Below are 14,031 nucleotides of genomic sequence, written 5' to 3' on the forward strand. Positions count from 1 at the left end.
GCCTCTGACAGGGTGCTGGGCCCCTACCAAATATCAAAGGCCAAGGACGTGGGCTTTGAAGCAGCCCAAAAGAAACCAGTATCTTCTCTGGGAGGTGAAGAAAACTAATGATTAGTATTCCTAGGTCTCCCTTTGCTGATCAGCAACACACATCCCCCCTACATCTCTTTTTTTAATTTATTTTTAACCTTCCTACTACCTGCTACACAACGTGTCCCACCTCAGTTGAAAGTTGTGCTTTCAAGTCCCCAAAATTGAGCATAAAGATTGATTTCTCTTTATTTCTTCTGCCTCCATACACAAATCATCAAGTCTTGTTTCCAGCTCCGAAAGATTACTCAAATCCCAAACTTAGGAAACTCCAATCCTTTATCAAGACTGCATAACCTTTTCCTCAGAGATTGATGTGGTTTTTATTATACTGGTCAGCAAACAAATTTGCTCTCTGTTTGAAAAGAAGACACTATTCTTACATTCCCAAAGCTGTTTGCTTGAGAAAATAGTCCAGAACAGAAGCTGCAAGTGCCTCTGCTTACATGATATGCAGGAGCAGAAAAGACACATGGAAGATGTCTCCCAATGCTACTTTGAACAGTGTGAAAATTAAGGAAAAAGTAAATCAATTTAAGTATTAGGGTGCATTAGGCTGCAAGTAACAGAAATCCCCACTAACAGTAGCCTAAACAATAAAGTACAGAATAGGAAGTCCAGAGCTGGTTTGGTAACAATACAATGGCAACAAGGACTCAGGCTATTTCTGTTCCACCATTCTCAACTTGCTTCCTGTTGGTTCTCGTTCTCAAGATGGATGCTGCAACTCCAGGCATCACAGCCACTTTCAAAGGAAGGAAGCAATAGCATTGCCAGGTGCTGAAAAGGTGCCCTTTTAGTGAGTCTTTTTCTTTTTATCAGGAAGAAATATTTCCCAGAAGCTCTGTGGAAACCTTCCCTGTATGGCCCATTGGCCAGAACTTGGTCCCTTGGTTACTTCTATCTGTAAGGAAGGCTGGGGAAGTATTTGGTAAAAGGGAATAGGAGGCAGTGATTGGTTTGGATCAATTATGATCTCTCCTAAGATTTATTGCCACCCTGAATAAAACCAGAATTCTGTAAGAAGAGCAGAGAATGTTTGCTGCTCCACCACCTAAGTGTTATGCTGTGCAAGGATAGTGTCTCACACTAATCAGTGAAACTCAAACTTCTTTCAAAGAGAAAGGCAAAGTCTCGTAAAGAACTTCCAATATCAAATACACAGAAGCAGGGCTTCTCCACCTCAATATCAAATACACAGAAGCAGGGCTTCTCCACCTCAGCCAGGAGCGAACATTTGAGTCTCTATCCACTTAGCCTCCACTCAACAAACCTCATCAGCACACACACACACACATACACACATATACACACACACTCATACACACACTCACACACATGTACACACTCATACACACATGCACACATAAATACACTCACACATGCACATACTCATACACATACAATCTCACACACACTACACGTCCACACACTCATACACATAGACATACTCATACACATACACACACACGCAGTCATACACACATACACATTCACACATGTACAGACATACATACATTCACACATATGTGCACACACATGCATATACACACCACACACACAAACACATATACACTGTCACACATACGAATATTCACACATACACTCACACATGCACACATACACACATATGTGCACACACATATACACACACAGATACAGACACACACAAACTCATGTACACAACAGGAGATAAGCTAAAATCTTTGGGATCAGAAAAAAAAGACCATTTGTTTAAATAACTGGTGAATAAGGAAATTCTTTTAATAGGCAATTTTTCTCAAGGAATGTGGCCAAATAGCAGGAATACACATGGCCCTAGAGATGCAGTGAGGCGGTCTGGAGCAAGAAATTCGTCCTAGCGGGGGCAAGTTGTGCTTGTCTTTAGGTGTTTTAGACTCAGGTTGTAGACAGCCCAGCTGAAGTCCCTGCCTTCCTCCTCGCCCCCCTACTCACAGGACCAGATCTTTCTACGACCCCACTCAGGATTCAGCCAACATCCATGGATGGAAGCTGAAGATTCTGAGGATATGAGAGAATATTGGGGGTCTGGAGTTCTGCACTCTGGCTAAGGGATGGCCTGGGACCAGCACAGGAGAGTGGGGGCGCTGGGCAGGACAGACACAGAAAATGAGGCCACTTCCCTGTGGACTGCCGTAAGAAGGCCACACAGGAAAGTCTTGTCCCTTGCGCAGGCTCAGGAAGTGGGTGAGGCAAGCCACGGGCTCAGTTCCTATTTTTCTCATCTCCCTTTGAATCCAGATCTACAGGCCATGAGCACACTTTTCTGAACCCCTCGGTGAAGAAGCTCTCACATGTCAGCAGAACCCAGGTGCGCTCCCATTGATGCACGATGAACCAGGATGAGGCCCAGCAGGTGCTGACCCAACTTGAGGCGGCCAGAGGCCAAGTCCCCCAACTGTCCTCTTGGAGGGACAAAAAGGAGGCACCCTGCCTCACAGATGTCCCAAATGTGAGCAGGATGTGGACACTGGCCTGAAAAGAAAATGGTAGATTGTTAAGATACAAACCATGGGAGCCCCTAGAACCTGACCTATCCTGCCTGTCTCCTTCTCCTCTCTCTCTTTCCCTCCTCAAACAGACTGTAAGGCCTCATTGGTCCCATCTAATCAATCCATGTATGTTGATCCAACATTTCCTTTCCCGTCCCGCTAGGAGGCTTCTAGAACTTTGGTTTGGTTAAGAGAGAGAGTGAGCAAAGTTTAATGTGAGATTAATAATAGTAACAATTATTATAATTATAAGCCAAAGTCCTGCTTAGCACACTTTACATACTTCATACTTCAATGAACCCTCACTTCTACATAAAGAGATGGGTGCTCCAGTTTTCTGCCAGGGCAGGAATCAGTCAGCTGCTGCCTGGACAAAGCTTTGTAACAAACCACACCAAAACTCCTTGGCTCTCAGCGAACACTTATGCTCATGTTCACAGGTCTGCAGGTCGACTCTGGTCCAACAGATCTAGCCTGGCCTCAGCTAGAGCTGAATGTCTCTGCCAGACTGACTCTCCTTGGGGAGGAACTACTCAGCAAATTCATTAATTGGGAATTGGTTTGCAGTTCTGTTGAGAAAGAAAATTAATTGTCAATGTATAGAAGATCTAACTACCTTCCAAAAACTGTGATTCTGTGACAATATTGATCCAGCCTAGAATCCTTAGTTGAAATTTCAAGATTATCATTTGCACACGTTTGTTAAATTCAAGCATGTTATGTCTTAGAAGCAGTGGTAACCTTAGTTTGCCAAATGATTATAGCTGTCTGCCTTCCTCTGGGCTTTGGGAACAGGCTGCCACGGGCTCTGGCCCTGCAAGAGAATGGTCCTGTTTCCGCGAGCTCCTGGTGGGTGTGTTGCCCAAGGACAGCTATCAGACAGAGGGAGATGGGGGTCACATATGAACTCGTCCCCAAGGAGGGGAGTTGAGGGGCAAACCCAAGAAACCCAGCTGGTTGTTGAATCAGAAGTAAAATCAGAGGTTTCTACCATGCCAATCCATTCCCTGTCTTTCTACAACATAAATGTAATCCTGTTACTTAACTTGCTTAAGACCCATCCACAGCCCCCCACTGACCTAGGGACACAACACCATAGCGTGGCTTCCAAGTCCTTTCATGAAGGGACCCCATTTACCTCTCCTCGCCTACCAGCCTCCACCCTCTGCTCAACTTTTTCTCTTTGCCTGGAATCCCTGCCTTCTTATACTCTCTCTCTGCCCCCATCTCCCCGCCTGCCACCCTTTCCCTATATGTTATAATCCCCACCTTCTTTAAGATCCAGTCCAGCCTCCCAGCATCACAACACCTTTCCCACAGGTCTATTTCGGGACTCGTCATTCCTTTGTCCCCACCTTGGCACTCTGTCCCTCCTGGCACATCATGTTCTGTCTTGCATCATTGTTTATAGAAACCAGGCCTATCTCCCCCATGGGACTCTGAATTCCTTGAGGATAAGGGCCACATCTTACTCACTCTTGCATTCCTTTCCCCTTCTCTGCTGGCTTGCACCCAGGCTAAGGGCAGCTGGTGTTTCTACTCCAAGAACTAAACAATCAAATCATTTAGGCAACAGGAAAGAAAAACTTTCTATTTTTTTTTTGATAGACTTACAAACAATAGAAAGTGCAACTTCTAAACAAAGGACAGGAACATTGAACATAAAATTTTGAGGGCAAAATGTCAATCCTGAGGTACTATGCTACAATTCTGCAAAATAATCAAAATCTTAACCAGTATTTGAGCAATGACCTGACATTTTGTGCCTTTCAAAATACAAAATGTACCAAGATAACCACAGACCAGCTATCAGACAACTCGTGTCACTGCAAAGTCCATTACCAAATCCCATTTGCTCCAATTTCTCATTTCGCATGAGCTATCATCTTGCCGCTCTCCTGTGCCACCACTTAAAAGCCTCATTATTAGGCATGGGAAGTACACATTTGGATGGGCAGAGTGTTTGCAATTATATTTTAAGGTGCTTCCCAAAGCTATAAAGTCAGAGCTCTAAATGGCATGATGGACAACGTAATTGTCAACAGACTACGAAACGAGTCTGAAATTAGAGTCAGCACTGCTCAGCCTAGAAGGATGTGCCCGCAGAGCAGACACATCCAAAAGGTCTGATGGAGGGTTCGAGGAGCAGGGTCAGAAAGCTGAGTGGCCTCGAGCAAGTCACGTAACCTCCTTGGACTGAATTTCTTCATCTAACAAAGACAGTGGGACTTGATGACCTCCGAGGGTCCTTTCAGCACTGAAAGTTTCTAGGGAGGGACAGGAAAATTCTACATTTGTTTGTTTGTTTGTTTGTTTGTTTTTTAGCGATGAAGTCTGCCTCTGTCACCCAGGCTGGGGTGCAGTGGTGCAATCTCGGCTCACTGCAAACTTCACTTTTCGGGTTCAAGTGGTTCTTCTGCGTGAGCCTCCCAAGCTGGGATTATAGACAACCGCCACCACACCTGGTTAATTTTTGTATTTTTTTTTTAGTAGAGATGGAGTTTCACCGTGTTGGCCAGGCTGGTCTCGAACTCTTGACCTCAGGTAATCCACCTGCCTCAGCACCTCAAAATACCGGGATTACAGGCGTGAGCCATGGCGCCCAGCCAAAAATATTAAGTAGAATAAATGAGACAGCTAAATGGGCCACCAGCCACAGAGACACACTATTTATTGAGCTGTTATTTTGTGCTGAGCTTTGTGCCTGACATCCTACAATTGTAATTAAATCCACACACAATACAAAAACAGCACCATTATTGCCCCTTGACAGGTGTGGAAATTCAGGCACAGGGAGATGCAGTGTCTTGCCCCAGGTCACCCAGAGGGCTAAGTAACAGGGGAGTGGGAGATGAACTCAGGTCTACTAAATCCAACACCCAAGTTCTTTCAACTAAAGCACAACTCCCTTTTTTTGTTTTGTGTTGTTTTGTAAGGCACTGAAGTGTTCATTATGCAAAAGTCTCACATATTGCACTCGTGTTACAACATTGTTGCAACTTTTCCTTTTCAAAAGGCTGCTCCCATAGGTTCCACTTACACAACAACCTGACTTTCCAAGGCCACACCAGGCCCTGTGCCCCTCTTGGTGATCTCCCTGATGAAGGGACACACTCATTTTCTCAAGCATATTACGACCCAGTTTCACCAGTGAAGATCACCAAGTGAGGACATGGGACTGATAAAGACTCAAAGGCTGAATGAGTCAGGTCCAAGGGTCTGGTGAGGTTGCCCTTCTGGTGGCTCATTGACTAAAATGTCTATGCTTTCAATGAAGTTTTAGGGACACTGTTGATCGAAAATGAAGGAGTAATTCCTAGGTAATATTCATCAAGATACGGTAGAACATCTCTTGCTTTCCTTCCTCTCCTTGTTATAAGCACACATTGTGGGAATAGAACAGATTAAACTCCTGAGTTGTACCATTTTCCTGCAGCCAATAGGTTGCTGCTATTCACTGGGGTCTCAATAACCTCACAGGCTGGGGCCGTAATATTTGGTGATTTAATTAAATGGACATTGAACACTCTACCCAATGCAAAATAATCCCACACTAGAAAGCAGGCCTGTGAAAAAGCATGCTCTGTCCCTTTGAACAGTTAGATAAATTGACAGAATCCACATTTAATAAGATTCTAAGATTCCTCCTGCTGGGACAATAAAATAAACCTACCATGGATGCTGGAGAACATATGGGTAGTGCTGATAAGCGGGGAGGTTAGAGACTAGAACAAGCATTTGAAAGACCTACGATGAATTTCCACCTTTAGGTGTCACACCTGTCCCTTACAAATTCCCAGGCAGGTAGTTTTGATGTGGAATGGGGGCTATTTAAATATTAAAGAACTAAAGGTAAAATCTTGGTCTATTATGTCTGGTTTCTACCCATTTGTCTTCCTATGGAGACCTCTAAGATGACACAATTTTAGACAAAATGTACGTTAGCTACATTTTGGTACCTTACAAAATTAGGTAAGTACATTAAACAATATTCTTTTCCCTCACAATCATAGAAAGAGAAACCAGAAAGACAGATGAAGAAAGGCTTGTACTAAACCATTACCTATTTTGTTAAACATAAAATAAAAAAGACCCAAGGGTCTCTTTTCCTTGAAAACAAAAAAATGGTTAGAAATACAAACTGGATGTACCACATTCTTTTCAACCACCCATAAGATAGTGATTTGGAAAATATGAGAATCTCCCCATGAGCTAAAAAAGAAAATGTTTCCATTGAGATTGTTTTCATAAGACACTCAGGAGAGTGCTTAATCCACAGTAGATATTTTGTCAGTTTTAGCTCTCTCCAGTCTCCTTAGGAACACTATGGCTTGTAGTGCTGAAACAGTTGCCATATTTTTCCAGTATCATCAAACTATTGATACAAGGCTGACTAGCCTGGCTTGCTTGCAAAGCCTGGCCCAGGCCACGGGCTAGCTGACTGTGGGAGGAAGCACTAGGTCGTCGGCAGCCCCGGCAATGCTCAGGTCTGAGTTCCCACTCTGTTCTCCACTCGCAGGTCGAGGTGAGACACATGCCTCTCCGACCCCCAGTTCCCTTGCAGGTAAAGTGGAAGCGCTAATGCTCTCTGTTTAATAGTGTTTTCGTGATGCTGAAATGAGGTACCTTTTAGGAAAGCACTTCCTAAACTTGAAAGGGATATGCAAATGCTCTTTATGAATCCTGTGTAATGAAAAGGCAGGGGGTTGCAGTTCCACTCAGCAAGTGGATGGAAACAGCTTTGAAATGGGTAGATGACTAATGCTAAGACTTCATCCCATTATAGTTGTTCATGCTAGAAATTTCCAGCTTTTACTCTCCATCATTGCATACTTGGTCTAAGTGATATGACCCAGCAAAGGGATCTCTGCTCTTCCTCAGCTTGCTCTCCGGGTCCATCTTGTTATCATGATGCACCATTAAAGAGGCACTCAATTTCAATATGAATATACAACAATATTTGTGTCCTTCATTACTACTAGAGAGAACTTTGAAGATGCTGAAAAGCCAGCTCCTAGGACAATATTATCTCTGAAGAAAACAATGACAAGTCTCACCACTGGAGGAAATATTCCCCGAGTTTAGAGCAGCAGTGATAAAAATGTGGCTCATTTCTGGCTCAGCATTTTTTTTCTGGTAGACACAACATAAAAATTAGTCGGTCGGACATGTTTGAGTGGACATCTGCTGTTTTTGCCTGCCCAGGGTCCTTTTGGGTAAAAGAATGCATCTCTTCCTTTTAGCTTCTCTTAGGACATTAGCTGTGGGTGGAGCCACTCCTTCTAGAACGGAGACTACAAGTTGCTGGCTTTTCAGATAGGTGTCAGACACCTGTAGAACAGACATACCTTCACTAGTAACAAAACATTCAAGTAGCTTAAACAATGATGGTGGCTTATAGGTCCATTTAACTGACACAATGTGGGGTTTCATGTACCATTTAATACGGGGCTGAAATGATAAAGGACCCAGTTTCTCTCAGTGCCTTGGCTCCATTCTTTCAGGGTTGGCCTGCCTCAGGAATGTCGCCTTTCACACTTGCCTGGTGGCTGTCAGTGGCTGTATCCTTCCTTACCGAAGGAAGGGGCTTGCTCCAGCACTGTCTTGATGCTCACTCCGCATGGACTGGCCAACACGCTGGAGTGGACATTTGCTGCTTTTGCCTGTCCAGGGTCCCTTATGAACTCATCTCTTCCTTTTAATGTCTCTGAGGACATTAGCTTTGGGTGGAACCATGCCTCTGGAATGGACACTACAGGTTTCTGGCTGCAGTAGGATGGCTTGCTGTAGGAGGATTGTAGGATCGCCATCAGCTCAATCCCTATGGTCAGCAGTGGAATGTGCCAGATGGCTCAGCTCAGGTCATGTTCTTCACCCCTGAAGTTGCAGGGGAAATTAGTGAGAGACCTAAAACACTGGTGAAGCAAAGGGGAGAATGGATATTTGGTAGGCAACCACATAAGGGTCCACTCAATCAGGTAAAAGACTATTTATTTATTTATTTATTTATTTATTTATTTGAGACACAGTCTCACTCTGCCACACAGGCTGGAGTGCAGTGGCATGATCTCGGCTCACTGCAACCTCTGCCTCCTGGATTCAAGCCATTCTCCTGCCTCAGCCTCCTGAGTAGCTGGGATTACAGGTGCACTTCACCATGCCCAGCTAAGTTTTTTTGTATTTTTAGTAGAGATGGGGTTTCACGGTATTTGCCAGGCTGGTCTTGAACTTTTGACCTCAGGTGACTCACCCGCCTCGGCCTCTCAAAGTGCTGGGATTACAGGCGTGAGCCACCCTGCCTAGCCAAAATATTTAATTTTGGCATGTAATAGTGATGGTGGTTTAGTTTTTCCTGTTTTTTCATTTTGTATGGATCTTTGGGGAGAAAGACTAGCAAAGGTAGGTGTACAATGGACACTCCCCTCTGCATTAAATAAAAATCAGACTCCTTTAAAGGGGATGTTTTCAGATTTTGAAATTTATCTTCTTATATGAAATTATACAATTCACCCACTCTATTTCAAGCACCCCACGTTCTGACGGAAAAAAAAAGCAGATGAAATGTCAAACACTTCCAGAAATATGAGGAAAACAGGAGAAAGAGCAATCATACAGATGACATAAGGGAAAAATGGGAATGTATAAATAATTTAAGTCATGACACTGTAAATGTGTATGTAATTTGACTTTAGCAAATATTTACCGTTGAACATGAAAACAAGTTTCTAGTCATAAAACCCTCTACTTGATTACACTTTCAGCTAGAGAAAAATCTAGAGAGAAGCCAAGCTACTTTCAAAGGTGCAGACATTAATTTATTAAACACTAGTCTTTTCTATTTTAATTTTCAATAACAAACATTTTTGCCTTTTACAATCTCTTCACATTTGCCATTTATCAAAGATCTTTACGTGGTTTAAAAGCACATCACAAACATTCGGGAGATCATGCATCTTCATTAACTCTGACCAGGTGTTTGCTATTGCCTACCCCACTCTTCTCAATGATGTCTTTGAAAGAGACAGTCCTACATTGGGTATTAAAAAGGTCAATCTTTCTAAATAATCAGAGCAAAATCTCTTTAGCCCTTTAAGGTTATCTGGGTTTGCAAACAGAAGAATACCACAAATCCATTTCCACTTCACAGGGATCTGAGTATGCATGCAAATGCACACACACAAAGAATGCTGTAGGACTCGAGTGTCAACCGCATCTTAGACTCCAAATATTACCCTGACTGGCCTGTGTGAGGTCTACATTCCACTGTAAAAGGGCCATTCACATGAATTTTGGCACTGCAAAGTTAGTGAACTAAAACTGAGAAAATGTGTAATTATTCAATGCCTCCCAATAACCAGCCAAGCTCGAAGAAATGGTAGGATTTGATAGAGAGCACCAAGATTCGAAGAGTTGTAAACAAGGCTTGTGAGGCAGAGTGGCAAGAAGGAGTGGCCAAAGGCCAAGTCATTGTTCGCATACTAGAAAGCGGAGTATAAATAAAAGACTCCCAACTGCCCCGTATAAGCCAATATAGGTAAGTAAAAATGCTTTGTAAATATTATTAATAGTAGAAAACAACTGATGTGATGTTCAAGGATTAAACCTTCAAAATACCCAGTTTCTTAAAGAAAATTAAACTTTCTTCTAGGTTTCCTTTTCTTTATGTCACAGGAATTTGAATATAGTTTAATCGGAGAAATACTTAATATTAACATCCTATTGTAAAAGTAGAATAGCGTTCTAATTAAAACATTGCTTCAACGGGTTTTTCCTAATGGAAAGAACTAGAGTTTACTTACAGCTAAACCTTCACCAACATAAGAGAAATATTCACCAATTTTCAATGAACATTTTGTAAAGTATGTATAGGAAACCAAGGATTTATAAGGATACACTTATAGTTTCGTTACTATCATTTATTTCTGTATCATGCACAAAAACAATTCCATTAATACATTTATTGTATTATCCATTTCAGTACTTATGCTAATACAGTCATTTTAATTTGGATATTTGAAATTTAGAATAGATTCATTGCTGTTAGTGCACTATCTGAAGAGAATTCTAGGTTACTTATTTGTAATTAGGATCCAGACAAATGCCCATGTTTCTAAACACCACACAAAAACTAGCACAAGTGGCAGAGACTGATCATACTTCCTGTCTTCAAAAGACAATGATCAATACAAAAAGTCAATGTGAACCATAGGTTTTTGCTTTTCACCTTGCCTGAACAAATTTCACAAATTCAAGAAAGATCCTTGAGCTTTAAGCAGTCTTCACTCTTTGGGGAAAGGCAAAGGATAGCAGCTCCTTTGTGGTAAGGACATGAGGCAGTTGTCAGAAGACCTGGGCTAAAACCCTGGCTCAACCCAAGTGCCCCTGTGACCTTACTTGACCTCCTTGATTCTACAAATTAGTTTGATCTAAATTCTCCCCAATGCTAATCTGCAGTTCACAACTCCTGTGATTCTCAGGAAGGAAGGTGTGATGCTGGAAGAGCATACTGGATTATACTAGTGATTCTCAAAGTGTGGCTCTGCAGCATCACCACCTGGGAATTTGCAAGGAATGCACATTCTTGGACCTCCACCCCAGGTCTACATAATCAGCAATCTGTGTCTTCAGAAGATTCTGATGCACATTACAACGTGAGAACCAGTGGACTAGACCAAAACCACATTTAAGAGATTCAAAGTTCCAAATGCAAGGTAAAGGAAATAAATCTAAACTCCATCATCAGACTCAGTTTATCAGATCCCATCACTGCTGCACAACGTAGATCATTAATTTTTAGGACTATAGCATTGAAGACATCTAAGCCATAATTTAAATACTGAATAACCGAGAAAAAAAATGAGGCCACAGAAGCAAAAATAAGGGCAATTTTAGCTACTAATAGCCAATAAAAGTTAATTATATTTCTAACTAGGAAAGTTAGGATTTTATTTTAATTTTTTTGTTTTTATTTTTTGAGACAGTCTTGCTTTGTCGCCCCAGCTGGAGTGCAGCGGCTTGATCTCGGCTCACTGCTGCAACCTCTGCCTCCCAGGTTCAAGTGAGTCTCATGCCTCAGCCACCCAAGTAGCTAGGATTACAGGCGCATGCCACCATGCCTGGCTAATTTTTGTATTTTTCGTGGAGGTGGAGTTTCACCATGTTGGCCATGCTGATCTTGAACTCCTCACCTCAAGTGATCCACCCGCCTCGGCCTCTCAGAGTGCTGGGATTACAGGCATGAGCCTCTGCACCCAGCCCTAAATTTTTTTTTATATTTTCAAAGCTATTTATTGTTTATGAAAAAATCATTTCCTAACTATAAAGAATTTCTCCTTCAATCTTGTGAATATTTAATAAAAAGCTTTATTCAGGCTCATAATGTATGCTAAAGTACTTCATTAATATAAAATATTATAATACGTAGTTAGGAGTTTTTACACTAACATAATAAATGGAAATATTTGAGTCATTCTGCACATTATAGTAACTGTAGTTACTTTTAATTTCTAATTTTGTAAAAGCCAAAAACAAATTCATATACAGCCAGCCCTCCATATCTATAGGTTCCATATCCACAGATTAAGTCAATCTCAGGTAGAAAATATTCAATAAATAATAAACAATTTTTAAAAACGCAAATTTAAAAAACTGCCAGGCATAGTGGTGAGTACCTGTAGTCCTAGCTACTTGCGACGCTGAGGTGGGAGGATTGTGTAGGCCCAGGAGTTCGAGACCAGCCTGGTCAAAGTGTCCCATTGTGAGTCCTCGTCTCTTAAAACACACACACACACTATACAATAAAACTATTTACAGAGCATTTATATTTATATTGTATTAGGTATTATAAGTAATCTAGAGATGATTTAAAGCATACAGGAGGATGTCCATAGGTTAAATGCAAATACTACTCCATTTTATATCAGAGACTTCAGCATCTGTGGATTTGGGTAACTGTGGGGGGTCCTGGAATCAATCCAAGAATACCAAGGAACAACTAACTGTATGGACATGGTGGCTCCATAATCTACTCTCTGAAGAAGTATAACTATAATAAAACATGTAATTGTTTTATACATAAAATATACAAAACATAAAATAATTGTTTATAATTATAAATAATTAAATAAATGATTACTTTCCTTCCTAAATTATCCTGATCTTTCCTAAATTTGGTTACTACACTAAGAGGACTAGTTCAACTTCACAGTCTATTTGATCTTTGTTTTCTGAGATTAGTAAGAATTAGGCTAGGGAAAAAGACCCCTTTTTCAATTGCTCCATACTACATTTTTAAACATGGCTCCCCAAACATCAGAAAGAATCTACACTGTTAATGAAATACTTTACATATTAAAAAGAAAAATCATTGATTTGGACCATGCAAAATTCTGAAATACATCTCTATCATTCCAATTATAACAGGTTAAAAACACTATAGGAAAAAGTGAGGAAGATATGTGCCAAAACCTAAGCACCTGAATCCTGGCGAAAATCTGCAATGAGGTATCTTTTGGAGGTTGTTTTATTATATCAGAAACTTAGTTCTTAAAACACTTATCCAAAGTCAATGGATTTGCTTTATTTTATTTAAAAATAAAGTCATTCTTGCAGCAAGAGGGCTAAAACCCAGGTAGGTTTCATTACAAGAAAGGATTTAGCCAGGCACGGTGGCGCACGCCTGTAATCCCAGCACTTTGGGAGGCCAAGGCGGGTGGATCACGAGGTCAAGAGATCGAGACCATCCTGGCCAACGTGGTGAAACCCTGTCTCTACTAAAAATACAAAAATAAGCTGGGCGTGGTGACGGGTGCCCGTAATCCCAGCTACTTGGGAGGCTGAGGGAGGAGAATCGCTTGAACCCGGGAGGCAGAGGTTGCAGTGAGCCGAGATTGCGCCACTGCACTCCAGCCTGGGTGACAGAGTGAGACTCCGTCTCAAAACAAAAACAAACATACAAACAAACAAACAAAAAAAGGGTTTAAATGTACTGCAGTCATCTAGGACTCTGATACCAGCGTCAGCATGCCCTAAGTCCATTCACTTCAGTAAGTCTAATAACACAGCACAGCTCGAGATGCTGAATAAGCTCAATAGACAAATGCACACTTAACATCAGATCATCTCCTCACTGCATTTTTCAAGCTTCTTAACAAACTGTTCAACTGCAGTGATATACTTTAGGTGTATCCGTGAGGCACAGTATTAGAGAAATGGGCTGTTCAGATATATCTCTTATGATAGGTGTGGGTATACCTCTATCATAACAAAATCTAACAGTAGTATATTCGGCTTTTTTTTTTTTTTTAAATTGAGACAGAGTCTCGTTCTGTCACCCAGGCTGGAGTGCAATGGCACTATCTCAGCTCACTGCAACCTCCGCCTCCTGGGTTCAAGTGATTCTCCTGCCTCAGACTCCTGAGTAGTTGGG

The 14,031-nt window shown here is 41.7% G+C and overlaps 1 long non-coding RNA gene across 1 annotated transcript; it reads right to left on the reverse strand.

Moving 5' to 3' along the window:
* Positions 1 to 1,833: 1,833 nt before the first annotated feature.
* Positions 1,834 to 3,771, reverse strand: LOC101927603 (uncharacterized). The gene is made up of 2 exons (XR_007061633.1): positions 3,742 to 3,771; positions 1,834 to 3,172 (listed from the first exon to the last, which is right to left on the reverse strand). It is a non-coding gene; the product is annotated as an uncharacterized LOC101927603 (long non-coding RNA).
* Between the last annotated feature and the right edge of the window lie 10,260 nt (positions 3,772 to 14,031).

This window comes from Homo sapiens, chromosome 9, assembly GCF_000001405.40.
Source record: "Homo sapiens chromosome 9, GRCh38.p14 Primary Assembly".
Taxonomy (NCBI): Eukaryota; Metazoa; Chordata; class Mammalia; order Primates; family Hominidae; genus Homo; species Homo sapiens.